This window comes from Homo sapiens, chromosome 16, assembly GCF_000001405.40.
Source record: "Homo sapiens chromosome 16, GRCh38.p14 Primary Assembly".
Lineage (NCBI taxonomy): Eukaryota > Metazoa > Chordata > Mammalia > Primates > Hominidae > Homo > Homo sapiens.
The window spans coordinates 61,718,629-61,736,325 of NC_000016.10; the positions used below are offsets into that span (position 1 = coordinate 61,718,629).

Consider the following 17,697-nt stretch of genomic DNA (forward strand, 5'->3'; position numbering starts at 1 on the left):
TCCTGAAATATTAACATCTATCTCTTGGAGTAGTTTTCAACTTGGGAAAGAAAGGAATGATCCATGAATGAGCTTTATATGGCTGTCATTCCTCACCTTGAAAATGAAATAGTATGAAATTATTTACATATGCGCATTTATGAGGGGAAAGGTCGTAGCTTTTATCAAATTATCAATGATGTCCATAACTGAATAAAACAAAACAAAATACATTAAAAGCCTTAAAGAAGGGTGCTTAAAAATAGATAGGCATACAAGACAAATCAAGTTATAACAATTATGATTAATTGAAAGGGGGGAATATAGGTAAATAAGAAATTTTATCAAAATCTACACAATAACCCAATTATTTCAAAACTGTAAAATGTAGTACAAACATATTCACAGTTCATATCTAATCAAAATATATTGTCTGGATATTTTTGATAATTTGCATGGCATTCCAGTTGCTACCAAGATTTTTATTCCATACCCATTCAACATGTTTAATGAGCTCACCATTTTTTTTTTTTTTGGCCTGAAACATCCTTGCCTTAAAGTTTATTAGGTGGCTATTCAGAGCATGTAGCTTGCAGTTCTGACATACAGGAAATACAGCAGGAGGAAGTAGATGAGGTTCTAATCTTATTGACACACTAAATGAAGTCTTCAGTCCTCTGGGTAGAATTTGGGACTCTGCCTTCATAAATGCATTGTAGAACTTCCAACATTTTTTTCAGCGTTGGGTTTTTCATTCACTTTACCTTTCTTGAAACTAAATTGAAGTAAACCAATACAACGCTAGGATTCCAGAAGAATGCGTCTATACAAAGTTTGGATTTTCCAGTTTCTTCTGCCTCTTGCATTCTTTTGGTGGACTCTGTATATCTGATGTGTACTTTGTATACTACTGAAATTATCAATATTAAATAAAAACCACTCCATCTCTTACCCTGATTTAAAAATCTATAGTTCATTTTCATTAGTAGGATAAAATTCACAGTTTTCCACATAGCTTAGAAGAATCAACACCCTTTTCAATCTTATCTCTTCTTTACCATGACTCTATTGCTTTGTGGGAATATCTCCTGATACCTCCTTAAGATTATAAACAGTAATTCCTATATTGAAAATATGTTCCATTGTTTATCCTCCCAGGGCAAGATTTTTCCAACTGGGTCCCATCTCCCACAAATTTTATAATTTTCTCTGAAGGAAATTTGAAAGATTTTATAGTCAACTATCCTTGGCAAACTCGAGATACCATATAATTTCCTTGGGGATTCATATGTATTTCTAAATGCAAGAGAAACTTGTAGTAAAACAAAACAAACAGAAGATCATGTTTAATTTTGTCTAATTTAATGTCTCCCAATCTTATTAGGTAACACACACACACACACACACACACACACACCAAACCACATCATATATTGGCATGCTACCGCACAAGTTTCTATGAAAAACTCACTTTGAATAATGCTATCCTCTAAAACTCCATTTGAGTCTTTAAAAGATTGGAAGACTTTCTCAGCCTCTGTGTGAAGGTGTGTATCTACATAGCTTAATGGTTACAGCCATGTTACCATTAGCTTCTCTGTCTTCCCAGTATTATCTCAGATCCTCCAGTACCAGATTGTATCCAATTTACATCACAAACACAAAGCCTAGGCTTAAAATCTCTTACTACCTACAGTCAATTTGACTTTCTTTAAAAAACCTGCTCATCATCATGGCTTTTATGAACAAATGGAAACAAGCGTATTCAGGTTTCCTACCTGGCTCCCATCCTAAATTCTTATCCAGTATTCTGTAGGTTGAAAATACAATAAAAATATATCAGTCCGTAATAGCCCAAGACTTTAAACAATCTTTTACACCATTTTCTCTGTAGATAATCAATCTCAATTAAATTAGGGGCCAGAATAAAACGTGAAATTTGTAACCATGCAAGATTCCCAGTCAATACATACAGAACTGCAAGTAAAACTTCGAAAGGTTTAGGTAGAATGTGTTTCTATATGATGATTCCAGCTAATTTTTTTTAAAAAAATTTAACCCACAGATTCCCATGGGGAAGAGTGAAGTATGGATCTTTCTTTCACCCTTGACAAATAAAGTACTTGTAAATTATCACAGGAATAGTTATTCCAATATTAGAGCAATAGATTTGTCTATTATATTGACCCATTTAGGAATCATGTATAGTGTGTTGCTTTAAGCCACCTCATAAACATATAACCATAACAATAAAACCCAACAAATATAATAGAAATAAAGTATTTTTTGCTTTGTAGACCACAAGACTGGTTCAAATAAATACCACTGAAAATTGCAAGTATTTATTTAGTATGTATTTGTATATCTATATATCTATATCTATCTAGTTATTCTGAAGATTTTAGGGTTTAAACTAACAGAGATTATGGCTCAGCATCACAAAACTAGTAAATAGGAAAGATCTGATCTCACATTTAGATTGTTCAAGCTCCAAACCCTCCAATATATATATATTCACTTTGCTTTGCTTTTCTGTCAAACTTGTGCTCCAAAAGTCATACTTTTGTTAATGACTCTCTTGAAATGTGTTTTGCTACATGTGGTTTCTTCAAATGTTGTTTTATGCATTCCATTAATTTACCATCTCCTTACTCCACCCAAAATAAAGTGAAAGTAGTATTTTATGCATTTTGTGGAGGCTATCAATTTCATCTGTTTTAAAATCAATCCTGTCTCCCTCTTGTGTATGCAGATATATTATGAAAGATGCCTGCTGGCAGGAAAGCTAAAATTAAATCTCTTATATTTATTATTTCATGAGTGTTATAAAGTGCCATAACTTCATTTTATTGTTTCACAGTTATTAGAAAAAGACTCACAGAAACTAGACAAAAAAAATAAAGTATCAAACCCATTCATTGCTAGTGTTTATCTAGGGATAATTACCTTTACTTCTCTTATTAAGCTTTATTTCTTTTCATTTAAGGTTTCATGAAATGCTTTTGAGTAAGAATGTCATTGGTCACAGGAATGTATTGTTTTCTTTTGAAAAAAAATGTTCACTCTTGATCAGACTCATATTCTCATGATTATTTTATAAGAGATGTGTCACACAGACATAGGATTTCAAAGTTCTGCTTCCTTGGAGAGCATTGCGACATCCTAGAAATTTCAGGGACTTTAGCACTTTTAAGAGCAGACTTTAAAATTCATTTTTGCCACTTTTCATGGTAAATCTTAAGTAAGACTCATAGTCTTTTTCGGTCTCAGCTTTTATATCTATAACATGTGGTTGCTAATACCAAGCTCCTAGAGCAGGAACGTTAGATGTGTGTGTACATTTTTCACTTATGTAAGCAATCAGATTTCTCAATTACTTCCATCTCCATAGCCACCACCTTAGACCTGGCTACCATTATCTTTTGCAGTTACAGCTTCCTAAATGTGCTTCCTGCTTAATCATGTGTGTGCATGTGTGTATTTTATTCAAGCATAAAACTCTTTATGTTCAATCTCATTTTTGCTTATTACATGCTAGTCACAGGTATCTTCCATTCTTCTAACAAACTGAGGTCATTGTCCATTCAGGATATTTGCACATGCCTATTCTGTTGGCTAGAAGACTGCCTTCATGCCCAGCTCTTTCTCATTTTTTCCAGTTTCACCATAAACAACACTCATTTAAAATCAAAAATTTATTTGACAATACTATATAAAGTAGATCCCTGAGTTTTCTTTGTTCTTTGTTCCTCTGTCTAGTTGCTTGAATATTTATTTCAAACCAGTTTTCAAAATTTTAAATTATTTTATTCATTCTATTCTTCTCATAAAATCTCTTCTTCACTAAATTCATAAGAAAAAATAATTTTTGACCCTTTCACATTGTTTCTTCAGATTGTATTACAACAATTAGCATCTTGTAGATGGGTAATAAATATTGTCCAATAAATAAATGAGGAATTTTTCATCTGAAGAGGTTAGCATGCATACTGTGTGTTTGTGAGTGGAACAAGTGTTTCCATGATAATATCTAGGAAATTACTTTTTGAAGTATCTGTCATTGCTGAATGAAATTATTTAGAGCCATGATTCTAAGATTTTGTGAATATATATTATGTGTCAAGCATTGGCTAGATACATATCATCCAGAAGTATAAGTGACTACCTTTTTATTTGAACTTTGATACCCCCATAATAAACAAACTTTATATTTCTACAATGTTGGTCAGAGGCAGAAAGATGAGATGAAAGAAGAGAAACCAAAATATTTTTGTTTCTCTTTTTTAACTCAGATATAATTACTTGACACCAAACAGCAACTTGTATGATAGTGATGAAGCTCAAATTATACCCCACTAGATTTATTTATAGTTACAGAAATTCTTTCCTGAAGAATAACTGAAACTGCCTGACACCTCTCAAACAATGAATATTTTCTGAGACTGAACAAAACACCTTGCTTCATGCCTCAGAAGAAAATATTCAATTCAGTCCCTGCACTGATAGATCATCCAGAGAAAGTCACCCTAATTCTGTATATGGTAACCAAGAGGTTAATATCTGAAATAAAGTCCAAGAAAGATCCTACTAAGGAGGTAAGAGTTAGAACACAGTTATGGAAGGTCCTCTGGCCAACATTGGTCACTGAAGTTCTATATTTTTCCTTCGTGTTTGGTTCTGAGTGTGGGGTTGTCAAGTATATTGAAGGAAGATACTGGTTTCTCCACATTTGTTACCTGTTCCTCCACTCGTCCAGCCAGATTACCATTCTCTTCAGAAAGAATCTGGTTTATCCCCAGCTGTCTCCTTTTCAGTACTTGATAGATGTTTTCTGTCTCTGGTGAAACTTGTCCTATATTAAGAGGTCTTTTCATTGAGATAGCTCCATTTCCCCTTCTCCCTTCAGCATCCCACCTGTCCAGAAGATTTGAAACATTTTCTGCAATTCTATCATTTACAATTTTAATTAAATGTTTGCCAGAGAGAAAATTCCATGAAGGTAAAAAAGGCTGATTATTGGGGTGTTGTATACTACTACATTTTCAGTATCTAGCCCAGTCCTGGAACATAGTTGGTGCTCAGTAAGTATTTACTGACTGACAGAAACCCACCACCCTATCAGACACACAAACTGTCAGACATATATTTGGCTTTCTGATTTTGGAATCCTCAACACACATTCCCATTTTTGCCATGGACGTTAGAGAGGAGTAAGTGGAGAATATCCTGTTTAACCCTCCTGTTAAACTGGGAGCCAAATAATCTGCAAATGACTATATCATGTCTGAATTAGACTATATCACCACTGAATTAGAGTCTAAAGATGTATACCATCTTAAGTCTTTTGACTTAAAACAAATTACCTGAAACTATCAGATTTTTTTTTAAAATATAGATAATTAGCAATGATAACATATATAATATTTAATTATGTAACAGAGAGATTATTTAAAAGGATTCTAATCAAATGTGATTCAGGTTGATTTTGTGTAATGGACTGTGAACCATTTCTCCCTATTTAGGTTATGGTTACACTTTTGAGAATACAAATTCAAGGGAATGTCACCTTTAACTTCAGAATCATGAGAAGGTGGAAAGAGCAGATATGATTTCCAATTCTACTTTCAAATTGAATCTAGACCTATTTTAGCTCAGGTATATCATGAACTGGAGATAACTGCCTAGACAAGAGAAAGCGACCTCCCTCTTTTTCTTCTTGTTTTTCATTCTGACTGTGTTTAGATGAGTTCAATTCAGTGGAAAAAATATAAAGCACAATAGAATTGTCTATGCTCATGTTGATACTCGTTTTCATTTTGTGAGCCGTTTTGAAAACCTCTTTACATAGGCCCTTTTGGTCCAGAGAGTTTATACAGCCTGGATTTTTTTTAATGGCTTATCCTTCCTTGATTATTGCTAATAATTTCCAGCTACACCATCTCCCAGGAAGCTGATCCCCTGAGTTTAGCCTTAAATCCACACCTTCCAGCCAAACAAGACATTTGAATGTCACCTGCAGTTTTTCTGAGGCTGTTGTAAAGCAGACATAAATTGTTCAAAAATATTGAGAAAGCTATGAATTTAATGGCTCATTCGGTTTTTTGACATTTATTTTTCACGAGCATGTGATCATCTGCTAAGGAATATTCTAGTTCCATAGTGAGTCAGTCATTTGTGTGGTATTATGAGAGACGATTGAAAGTATATCTTTGTTGAACTTCTATAAGTAAACACTTGTGTGAATAACAAATCCAAATTTTGGTAAATGTTAAATATAAAAATTAGATCATTGAGCATTAAAAGTGACCTAGAAGTGATGTAAGGAATAAAACCTGAATTCTGACTAACATAAAGGATTCAAAGAGTTCAAGAAAGTTGTTTCAACAACAGCATGTACATCAGTCAGCCATATGTCCAAAAATGTTGTTAAGTCATCAAAGATATGATCCTTTCATGTAACTAATGAACTCTAATAAATATGTCTAAACAGATCATTAGAGGATAAAATGGTGTAGCACACATACACACAACATAACCATTTCTTCAGAGAAAGAGTCATTCATTGTGATTTGCAAAAATCATAAAACAAAGAATCAATTTTTTATTTTGGTTTTGCATAGGAAAGATGAGAAAACAATGCATTTTTTTTTCTGAAGTTAAGAAGAACGACTGAGAAATCATTAGAACTTTGAAAACAGTCAAAATCCACAGGGCAAACCTACAAATTCCCAGAGATCCAAGAAACATGCTTGTCAATAACGCAAGTGAAGCCAATGTTGAGTTTTTGAAATATCAATGTCATTGACTCCTTGAACTTATCTGATGAGTTTTGCATGAGCAATGGAGTTTTATTTAAATTCTGAAGTATTTTACAGACTCTATGTGATTGAAAAAGTCTAGCTTACCAGTCTGTGATTTGGCTACATTATCTCAGCAATGATCTGGTCCACACAACAACCATATCTTTGAAACAACCTGCCATATTTTGATCAAACTCTCTCTGACAACTCAATCTACCAATTTAGGTAAATGATATGTATTGATATGTGTATATATAAACATATACACACTCCCTTCTCAAAGGATCACAAATGAAGATGCTCAAAACGTGTGATTGATAGGGGGTAATTCCACATGATAAAATTAGGAAACATTTAAGCTAATGTTAGAATATTATAAAAATAAACCTATATCTCTACTAAAGCTGAATGCTTTGATGAGAACATGGCTAGATGTTTAAAAGTTAATCAGTTTTATTATTAGAATTTTAGCTTTAACGTGTGTGTGTGTGTGCGTGTGTGTGTGTGTGGTGTGGTGTGTCTTATTCTGGTAGATGGAAACAATGCTAATTCTCCAGATACATGAGAGTAGTCTACGGAGAAATGCCCACTGTTTTATAGGAGGGTAACAAATTGATCATTTATAATAAAGCATACAGCTACAGTGCCAGTCCTTTCTTTAGGGGGAAAAAATCTGACTCTTGTCAGGTAAGCTGCTTAGCAAATAGTAAGTTTAATTCCTAACACCCACATGAGGCACAAGAATAGTTGGATTAACAACTCCAGTGTCATACTGTCAGCTGCTGTTTATTTAAATTAAAATGTCACCATCCAGAAATAAATTAGGAAGTTGAAAAATGATAAATTTCTTAAACATACAGTACTTTGGTACCTTGTTAAAATAAATCTATTACATTTATGGTTTTGCAGAACTTTACACAGGCTATTTCCATTTTGACATTCAGAGTATAGCAGATATTTGTTTCTGTTCATCTTGCTTGTTTAACTATTTTCCTCCCTTTCTTCCTCCCTCTTTTTCTCTCTCCCTCCCTCCCTTCCTCCCACTCCCATTCCCATTCCCTCTCCCTCTCCCTTTCCTTCTCCCTCTCTCTCACTTTCTTTATGTTTCTTTTTTTTCTGTTTTCATTGACCCATCTATGCAATATGAGGCACAAAAAATGTTCTACTAATACACACATGTAAAACGTGTTGTTCATCTTATGTTTATCTAAATATATTTACATATTTACAGATTTCAATATTCACTTCCTACAACTTTCTATAAACCACTGGCCTTCTTGGGTTTCACTATTATTTGGTATTCATATGTTTGCTGTGAAACAAATGTCTCCTCTCCACGAGGTTTTACCTTGCTTCTTGTCATTTGAAAGTAAAAATTCAGCCCCCGTCACTCTAAGACATCTCCTGCTATCATCCATATCCCAAGATATTTTAAGACAGTGATTTGGCTCTGGGTTTGTGGCACAGCAGGTTGTTCCACTTTAGGAGCCAATTTGGTCATAAGTAGGAAGAGAAATAACATCTGATGGAGAAAAAAAATTCCCTCTCTGTTCCCATTTGGATGTGTTTCTTGCCTGAGACTTTGCAGATCATAAATGATGCAAATGCACAATATAATGCAGGTTAGTCAAATATGAGACAGTTGTATACAAACATATTCAGCATTAACAACATGGAGATATTTACTTGGCCGGGTTTTCCATTTTCACATAAAAATGCCTCATATTCGGATGCGAATTCAGGGGCGTTGTCATTGACATCCAGCACTTTAATAGCAACAGGTACTCGTGATATCTGACTGTGGTTCCCTATGGGAAGGAAAAAATAACATCAGCATTGAGGGTATTTCATTTTAACGTGCAACTCAACTTTCTCTTGAAAGCATGTGTGTCTGTTTCCAACTTCCCTTAATTAGGATGTTTTCAACATGGTGATTATAGAGTCTGACCAAATAAGAAAAATAGCAAGTGCTTGACTGCTTTAAAAAAAAGCATAAATTGTTATTTCAAACACCATTTGCTGAGTTTAGCTTGATAAAGACCATTTCTGAATAAATTAAAAGAGGTTTCTTTGATAAAGCAAGCTTTATTTTATAGATAAGGGATCAATTCTTTAAAAGAAAAATGTTGTATACAACAAAAATGTATCTCTTTTTTTCTTGAGTAGAACACAACCCATTTTAAGCTCTTACTTGCTTGACTGGCTGTATAATAGAGATGAACACTTAAAACCTAGCAAAAGGCCAGAACTAAATCACTTGTTGAGAAGTGGTCCTTAACAATGATAAAAGAGGTAAGATTAAAGATGAAATATCATATATTTTATGAATCACATTTTTCATTAAAATTGACCCTGGAATATTTTTGAATAAGATGATCCCAAGTGATTTTAATATTGTCATTTTCATGAGGACTTTTATCAATGCAAACGAATAATAATCTTCTAATCTTTCCAGGTCAATTCCAATAGCAGAGAACTCAATACATAATCCTCAATCCCTGAATCCTTATTTTTTTAAGTTATGTATGCACACATACACACAGAAGGAGATCTAGTCCATTAATACATTCCTGACTTGGGACATGTTATGGTTTTCACTTGCAATAAATGGAATATAGTTTGACTTTGACTGTACCATGTAATAATCTTTTGATCTGTTATAAATTATACAGAATGCATTGGAGATAGCCAATTATTTATTTGCATTTCTGTGGCACTGAATATTTATAAGCAAGCCAAGAGGGGAAAAAATGTTTGGCTTTGAATATGAACAAACAGATTTTCATTTGATATATCAAACTCCTCTTTTTGACAATTGATTACATTTGGAGCTCTAAAATACTCATTTTTTTTTTTTGGTTAAAGATAAAAGTACTCCTAAAGTATACACCAAATAGCTATATTTATGCTACAGATTTACAGTTGGTTTGCCCTGCTGGCTCTGCTACAAGATTTGAATTTAGTTGAGTGCCATGACTACTCTCCAATATTCTAATTTGGTTAACTACAAGTGGCTGAATACTATCCTGAGGGATTAATGGAACTTGACTTCACTTCCCAAAAATCAAGGTGATGGCCTGAAATGTCTCACCTCATATACCCTTTTTAAATATATATCTAATGAACTTGTTTATTCTTCATTCAGGGAGGAAACATGCTCTTTCCTAGTTTTGATAGAAGGAAGAATCTAAATAGACATTTAACTTATGACTCTAACACAAGGCACTCATATTTTATCCTTTATCTATTCAACAAAACTCTAGGAAGTTTATAATTTGAGTAAGGTGTGGTTATATTTTTAAATATTTACTTCCGTTTTCCAGCCTGACCATTAGCTAAATAGCAGTTCTTGGAAAGTAAAAAGGAGCATAGCATTTTGTGCTAAACATGCACCTTTGGAGACCCAGCTTTTCCTTCTACTACTTGTGTGACTCTGAGCAATTAATTTAAACTCAATTTTTTTCCTAAAAAAACTGAAACTCAGAAATTTAACACTTTTGTTATAGAATTGTTATAAATGTCATGTGAGAAAAATTAAAAGTGTCTTATACAGTATTGGACACACATTCAAAGGTATTATAGCCTTTGCCTTTTGCAATTTTCCACATGAACAGCATCAGGTATATTGAATGTTTACTATTCATGATGCAAAATATTTCACGTAATCATATTTCATTCAATCTGCACAAAAAATCTATGAAGTAGCTAATGGGATCCCCATATGTAAGATGTAAACCTGACACTTAAAATATTATATAATTGTACCAAGATTACTAAGTTAAGCATCAACTTCAAAATGTGATTTTGCTCTTCCAGACATAAGCCATTTTCATAGTATAATACTGATGAAGTCCAAAAAAATACATATACATGTGTATTTGTGCCTCTGTGTGTGTGTATGTGTGTATGAAGGTTACTAATTACTACTATCTCCTCAAGAATGTTTATAAATTTGTTACAAATACTTACCTGAAATTTGATAAATATTTGAAGTTTTGGCCCAAATATCAAATACCGAATGTCTAAGGGGTTGTACCATCATGAAGAGTTTCAGAATTGCACTCGTAATCTGCAACTCTCCCTATGAAACTGTGCAGTTTAACTTCCAGAATTTTGCTTATGGTCCTATTTCACCCAACTGGAGTCCCGTTAATTGATTAACTTCTTTTTGTAATTCTCTGTTTTAATTCCAAGAATTGCCGGTTATTCCTTTTAACTCTGTAACACTCATTCTTTTCATTCGACATCCTAGACCAATTCCTGTGTGTGTAAATAATTAAAGAAACTTCTACTAGATATTTTTACTTTAATCTCGCTAAATATTCAATTAATAAATAGTGATTAGCACAGGCTTAATAAACTGCATGTACAGATTAGACAGTGAATAATAGGGGCACAGTCTTAGAAAACTGAAAGTATAAGAAAAAGCTACCATATTCCTTAAACATTATTTTGCTCCTTCTGAAGTGAAAAAATTGCTAATTTTACAGATTCAGATACACTGACAATGGTTGATTAGGCCAAGTCAACTATGTATGATATTATTCTTTGTTTTCCTTATCTTTAATATTACATGCACGTGTGCATGCACACACACACACACACTCATATCTACACACTGCAGGCAAACATGCATATACACATTTTCTTCCCACTCTTTTGGTTAAAAAATTGTCAAAGTCCATTCTTATTTTTCTCTTTTCTTTTTAATTTGGCCTCATGGTTGCAATAAATTGCAATTATCTCTTCAACCTAGATGACCAACAGGTGGCAAAACTCAGGCATAAAGAATGAACAAACTCCATCAGCTTCTTATTGGAGGCAATTTTCAACATTAAAGTAGGTTTTCTCATATGTCATATATGGGACAAAGTGTTATTTATCTATCCCTGGGGCCCAGTGCAAAATACCAACTAATATCTTTTTAGGAACAATGTGGGATTAGGGAGCTATTACTTAACACTGTTGGAAAATCATGAATGATATATAATGTTTTTTCAATTATCATCTTTCTTGTGTCCCGGCACCTCTGCAAGCGACTAATGTTTTAGTATAATGGTCAAAGAACTCTTTGTAAATAATTATTATTTTCTTCTTTAGTTTGTGGTTTGTTAGTTTATAGTTCGGTGAGAAACTAGGAACTAAATTTGGAACCCACTTTTTATAGCTGTAAAGAATATCATGGTACACAAATTCAACTATTTTTTACATTTATTTAACAATTACGCAAGTGTACTAAATTAATTTGTTCTTATTTAGTTGTAGATATTTCTAGATGTTTCCTCTTAATATTTTATCTATTTCTTTAGAAAAGTTAAGCAAAATAAAACCTAAACTGTTTACTCTGCACTGAAAAGCTATTTCCAGGTGGTTAGAATTTCTCTAGTTATCCCTCAAAATTTAGCATAAGTCACATCTCTTTCAGAAAGCCATCTTAACACACCGTTCAATTTTGTTTGTTTGTTTTCCTTGTTGCTTTTTAAGACTCATTACATGATAGCCTGAGGAACTCTACAAACCCAGTCTCCAGAAAAACTGGTGAAAGTTTTTTTAAAAATAATTAGTCTATGGAAAAAGTCCTAAGGGATACAGCAGGTGAGACAAAAAGATTGAGGTCACTGCCTCCTTCTCTCCACAAAGCACTTCACTCCTAAAGAAAGGAGTTTCAAAGCCATGGCTCAAAGATTTTGCTTGAGAGTGAAAGAGAAAAGCAGGCCTTGAAGCAGAAAGTTCCTTCATATACAAAGGAATGTGACCTTCAAGCCTAAGTGTAAACTCAAAACACTAAAGGTTGCTATGAAAGACAAATGAGAGAGTGTTGGTAGATCTGGTAGATTCACTGGAGAGAGAGGCTAGTTGCCAGAGAGAATGCAGATAGAGTCAGCTGAAATGAGCCTTCTAGGAAAAATAACAAATCTCAAACATTTATCTAGGGAATCATTTCTTTAACAGAGCCCAAATTTGAACAGATCATACCGTGGAACAAATTATGACCTAGGACGCTTTTGAATACAGTTGAGCAGTTGGCTGGCAATTAAACAACCTTAATAGCTGGATGTGGTCAGGGACAGAGACAATCAAAGAGAGCCCTGCCAAAACCACTGTATTTCCAGGTGTTTATGTAAATATCCAACACTGTACCTCTGGAGAAGTAAGATCACAGATTTTACACCAATGGGGAAAAAAGGTTTTACTAAAACAATTCAGCAAGTCACAAACAAGTGAGTAATAATTCCAAACTCCAGAGGAGGATTGGTAACTAGAATTGCTGCATTGTATTATTGAAAATATCTAGTTTCCAAAAAAAGTTACATGACATGAAAATAAGCAAACAATAAACAAACATAGGTCAGAGAAAAATCAGGCAAAAGAAATCATATGTGAGAGTGACCATATGTCAGATTTAACAGAGTTCAAAGTAGCCATTAACATATATTTAAAAAGGCATAATTAAATATGTAAATGAAGATGCCATAACAACATAACATCAAGTAGAGAATATCAATAAAAAGACAGAAATTATTAAAAAGGAAGCAAATGGAAATTGTGCAGTAGGAAATTACCATAACCAAAATTTTAAATTCACTAGAGAGACTCAAAAGTAGATTTAAATTGGCAGAAGAAAGAATTACTGAAAGTGAAGATCAGTAGAGAATCAAAGAACAGCAGTTAAAAAAAAATAAAGAAAAATGAGCAGAGCCTCAGTGAAATATGGGACACCATTAAGTGTCATATATGCATAATAGTAATGAGAGAAGAAAAGGAGACAGAGAATGGAGAAAAAAATGAACAAATAATTCCTGTAAACTTCCCAAATTTATTGAGAAACACTAGCCTGTATATCCTAAAACTTCCCCAACAAACTCTAAGTAGGATAAACACAAAGAGACTCACAGACATATCATATCTAAAATGCTAAAAGCCAAAAACAAGAACATTTTGAGACCAGCGGGAGGTGAACAAACAAACAAACAAAAACTAATCACCAGGGAACCCCAATAAAAATAGCAGCTAACTTCTCATCTGAAATAAAGGAAGTGAGAAAACAGTAGGATAACTTATTCAAAGTGTTCAATGAAACATAACTGTCAGCCAGGAATCCTATATCCATCACAAGTATCTTTCATAAATGAAGGTAAAATAGAGTCATCACCAGATAAGCAAAATCTTAGAAAATTTGTTCCTAGTAGAATCCCTGCTACACTCACAATAAATGATAAATTCTTCCGTTGAAAACAAAGGATCCTAGACAATAATTCTAATCCAAACGAAAAAAATAAAGAGAAAGGAAAACGGTAAAGGTAATTATGCCCTTATAAAAGACTGTATAAATCCACATTACTCCTCGTTTCTTATTTTAACCATAATTGCATAAAACTCTATGTATCTATTTATATTATCGTATATAATAGTATTGCTGAGCTTGTAACATATCAAAATGTAATATGTTTGCCAATCATAGCAAAAAGGAGGTGAGTGGGTATGAAAGTGTACTGGGCTAAGAAAATGAATTTAGGTTGTAATTCAAATCGACAGGAACAAATGAAAAGAACAGAAATGATGAATAAAAAGATTACTATAACAAAAGCTATGAATATATACTTTCACTCCTCTAAGATTCTTTTAAAAACACAATATTATATAAAGTAATAATTATAGCAATACAATTTTAGGGTTTATAATGTATATGTATAAGATGTACATCAGTGATATCACAAAATAGGAGGGGAAGGCAATAGAACTATATAGGAGTAGCATTTTTATATCTCACTTGAATTAAGATGATATACATCTGAAGCTTATTCTGCCAAGTAAAATGTATATGCTAAGCCCTGGAAGAACCACTAAAAACTTACAAATATTTGTTACAAATAATTACATACTTTTGGGTGTATGTTTGTATACAAATACATTTCCCTAGTCTCCAAATTTTCTGTAAGGAATATAACTGATTTGATAAACAGGAAGTAAACAGTGACTTTTTGCAAAAAAAAATCTTTATGCTGTAGGATTTGACATCTTACATGTTATTTGAGATTTGACACTAAAATAAAATAATAAGAAAATAAAAAAATATATTGTGCTTCATCAAAATTAAAAATATTTGTGTTTTAAAGGAAACTATCAAATAAAGTAAAAAGACACTGACAGAATAGAGAAAACATATCACATTCATATATCTAAAGTCATATAATCATAAAATCGTTCCTTGATATATTATTACAGCCTATTAATATGTTCCTTGGTCTTGCTTTTGCCAGTGCCCTTCCCACCCTTCCTGTCACTTTCAGATAAATTTCTCCAGCTGTTAATTTTTTTGTCCAGTATAAAATTTATCATAAAACAACTTTTGAGTTTGTACTGCCCTAAAACATTCTTTTCAAAATTATGTGGTTTAAATTGTAACTCGTTGATTCTTGAGCCCTCTATATCTCCTCCATAGTTATCTACGACCACAGTGATCCAGTAAATGATCAATGAATACCTCAAAACATTCAAACTAATTAATGTAATCTAACCCATAATCTTAAATAATATATTATTTTTATTAATTCATTCATTTTCTTGATAGCTTTATCTACTCTCTGCCCTCATTTTGATTATTGAATATGTGTAGTGATGTATAAGTACTCTTCTATGTGCCTTCAATATAAGAAAAAGCAAACAGAGATAAAGACTCTGTTCTCTCAGAACTTATAGTACAGTAGCAGAGAATAATCAAACAGTGTTGAATTATACACTAGACTGAGAGATATGAAGAAAAGCAGACAGTTTTAGTGCAGCACATCACAGAGAGAGCTTAACTAGGTTGGAGGGTTTAAAGAGGATGGACTTTGAACATTCGCAGTTGGAGTTGAGGTAGGTGAACTAGGAAGCATTCCATTTAGAGAACATATTGGGACCTTGTTGACGTTGACTTATCAACCTTGCTGGGGGGAAAATGATTTCCTTCAGTATTTGCAAGGATGCTACAATGAGCATGGGTCTCTAGCTCCAGTGATAGATCTGCTTTTGCCTTTTATGTTCACCTCCTACTCCCTTTCTAGGGCCATTTTCCAGAGTTTGTATTTTCGTGGCACTTCTGTCCATACTGGCCATGCCTGTGCCTACTTTGTGAGAGGCAAGTCCTTCCAGTTTTCTTAGACCATCCTTCTTTCAAAGTCCCTTACAAGCCCCACCTTTTCCAGAAGGCTTTTGTTAGAATCAGCAGCAATTATCATCTGCCTTCCTTCCTTCTCTCTCTCTCTCTGTCTCTCATTTTTTTTAACTTCACAAGAGTTGTTTAGAGTTATTAAGCTGTGTAGTAAATATTCTATCTATCCAGTAAATGTGAGATTTTCTTGTCTCTTCAATTAAGTTAAAAACATATTTCAAAAAAATTATGACTTTTTCTTTTCTTTTTCGTAAACTTGTTTATACTAGTTTCCTAGGGCTGCCATGACAAATTACCACAAGCTTCATGCCTTAAAGACATAGAAATGTATTCCTTTACACTCTCACACTTGGAAGTCAGAAGTCCAAAATCAAGGTCTCAGTGGTGCCACATGCCCTGAGAAGCCTCCAGTGAAGTATCTTTCTTTGTCCATTTCAGCTTCTAGTATCTCCAATATTTCGTGGTTTGTGATGACATAAATCCAGTTTCTGCCTCCATCTTCACATGGCTTTCTCGTCTTCTTCTTGTATCTTCTCTTCTATTTCTAATAAGGACACTTGTCATTGGATTTAAGGCCTACCTAGGTGATCTAGAATAATCCCATCCCAAGATCCTTACTTAATTACATCTACATAGACCGTTTTCCAAATGTGATCTTGGCAGGTTTCTGGGGTTTCGAACTGGACATATCTTTTTTGAAGGCCACTATTCAGTCCACTAAATTATCTCTTCCCAAAAGCTAGGACATTCATGACTAACTAAAATAATACTATCACAAATACCCTTTTGTCCTAGAAAACAGAGATATGCGACATTAATGTGGTTGTGCATAATTATTTGAATTCATTCTTCAAAATATCATAAATATCAGCTCAAGAAGGTTAAGTACCCCATAACTCTCTCCTGAGAATTTCGATAAATGCCTTTTGTCATTCATTCATTACCTTATTATTCTTCTATTCAGTTATTCAATACATAGTTATATATATATATGTCCAGTTAAGATGAATCTCCTACAACCAAGTAATCCATAGTATTTTAAGAAATATCACATTATAGTGGTTTATCTATATATTCATTTATCCTACAAGTTACTCATTTTCACTGTATTGTGGAAGAATACAGAAAGAAGAAACACTTTTCTACAGTCACAGGAAGATTTAAAATAGGGAATTATCTTTCGCCTTTAAAAATTAGGAAAAGTACTTTACTTTAGGTATAGAAAGGTGGAGGCCAGGAGCAGTGGCTCACACCTGTAATCCCAGCACTTTGAGAGGCCAAGGCGGGGAGATCGCTAGGTCAAGAGATCGAGACCATCCTGGCCAACATAGTAAAACCCCGTCTCTACTAAAAATACAAAAATTAGCTGGGCATGTTGGCACGCACCTGTAGTCCCAGCTATTCTGGAGGCTGAGGCAAGAGAATAGCTTGAACCCGGGAGGTAGAGGTTGTAGTGAGCCGAGATCATGCCACTGCACTCCAGCCTGATGACAGAGCAAGACTCCATCTCAAAGACAAATGAAAAACAAGAAAGAAGGAAAGAAAGAAAGAAAGGAAGGAAGGAAGGAAGGAAGGAAGGAAGGAAGGAAGGAAGGAAAGAAGGAAGGAAAGAAAGAAAGGTGGACAATTGTTTCAGATAGAGTAAATGGCATGTAAAAAGGCCCAGAGACCATGCCATCACCAAATAATCAGGAGTTCTAATGGTGGGACTATCCTGAGATAAGGCCAATGGTGATATTAGGAGAGAAATTGGGGGCCATGTGA

General features: G+C 33.6%; 1 protein-coding gene across 5 annotated transcripts in view; it reads right to left on the reverse strand.

Moving 5' to 3' along the window:
- Positions 1–17,697, reverse strand: part of CDH8 (cadherin 8) — a 389,189-nt gene that overhangs the window by 71,379 nt on the left and 300,113 nt on the right. For 3 of the 5 annotated variants that reach the window (NM_001796.5, XM_005255760.5, XM_047433482.1), the window contains exon 9: positions 8,466–8,587. The exons of 1 other annotated variant lie outside the window; for it this stretch is intronic. In NM_001796.5, coding sequence (NP_001787.2) covers positions 8,466–8,587 — 122 coding nt within the window. Of the gene's footprint in view, positions 1–6,541; positions 8,588–17,697 lie in introns of those variants that run through there. One more of the 5 variants, NM_001410893.1, reaches the window with a different exon arrangement.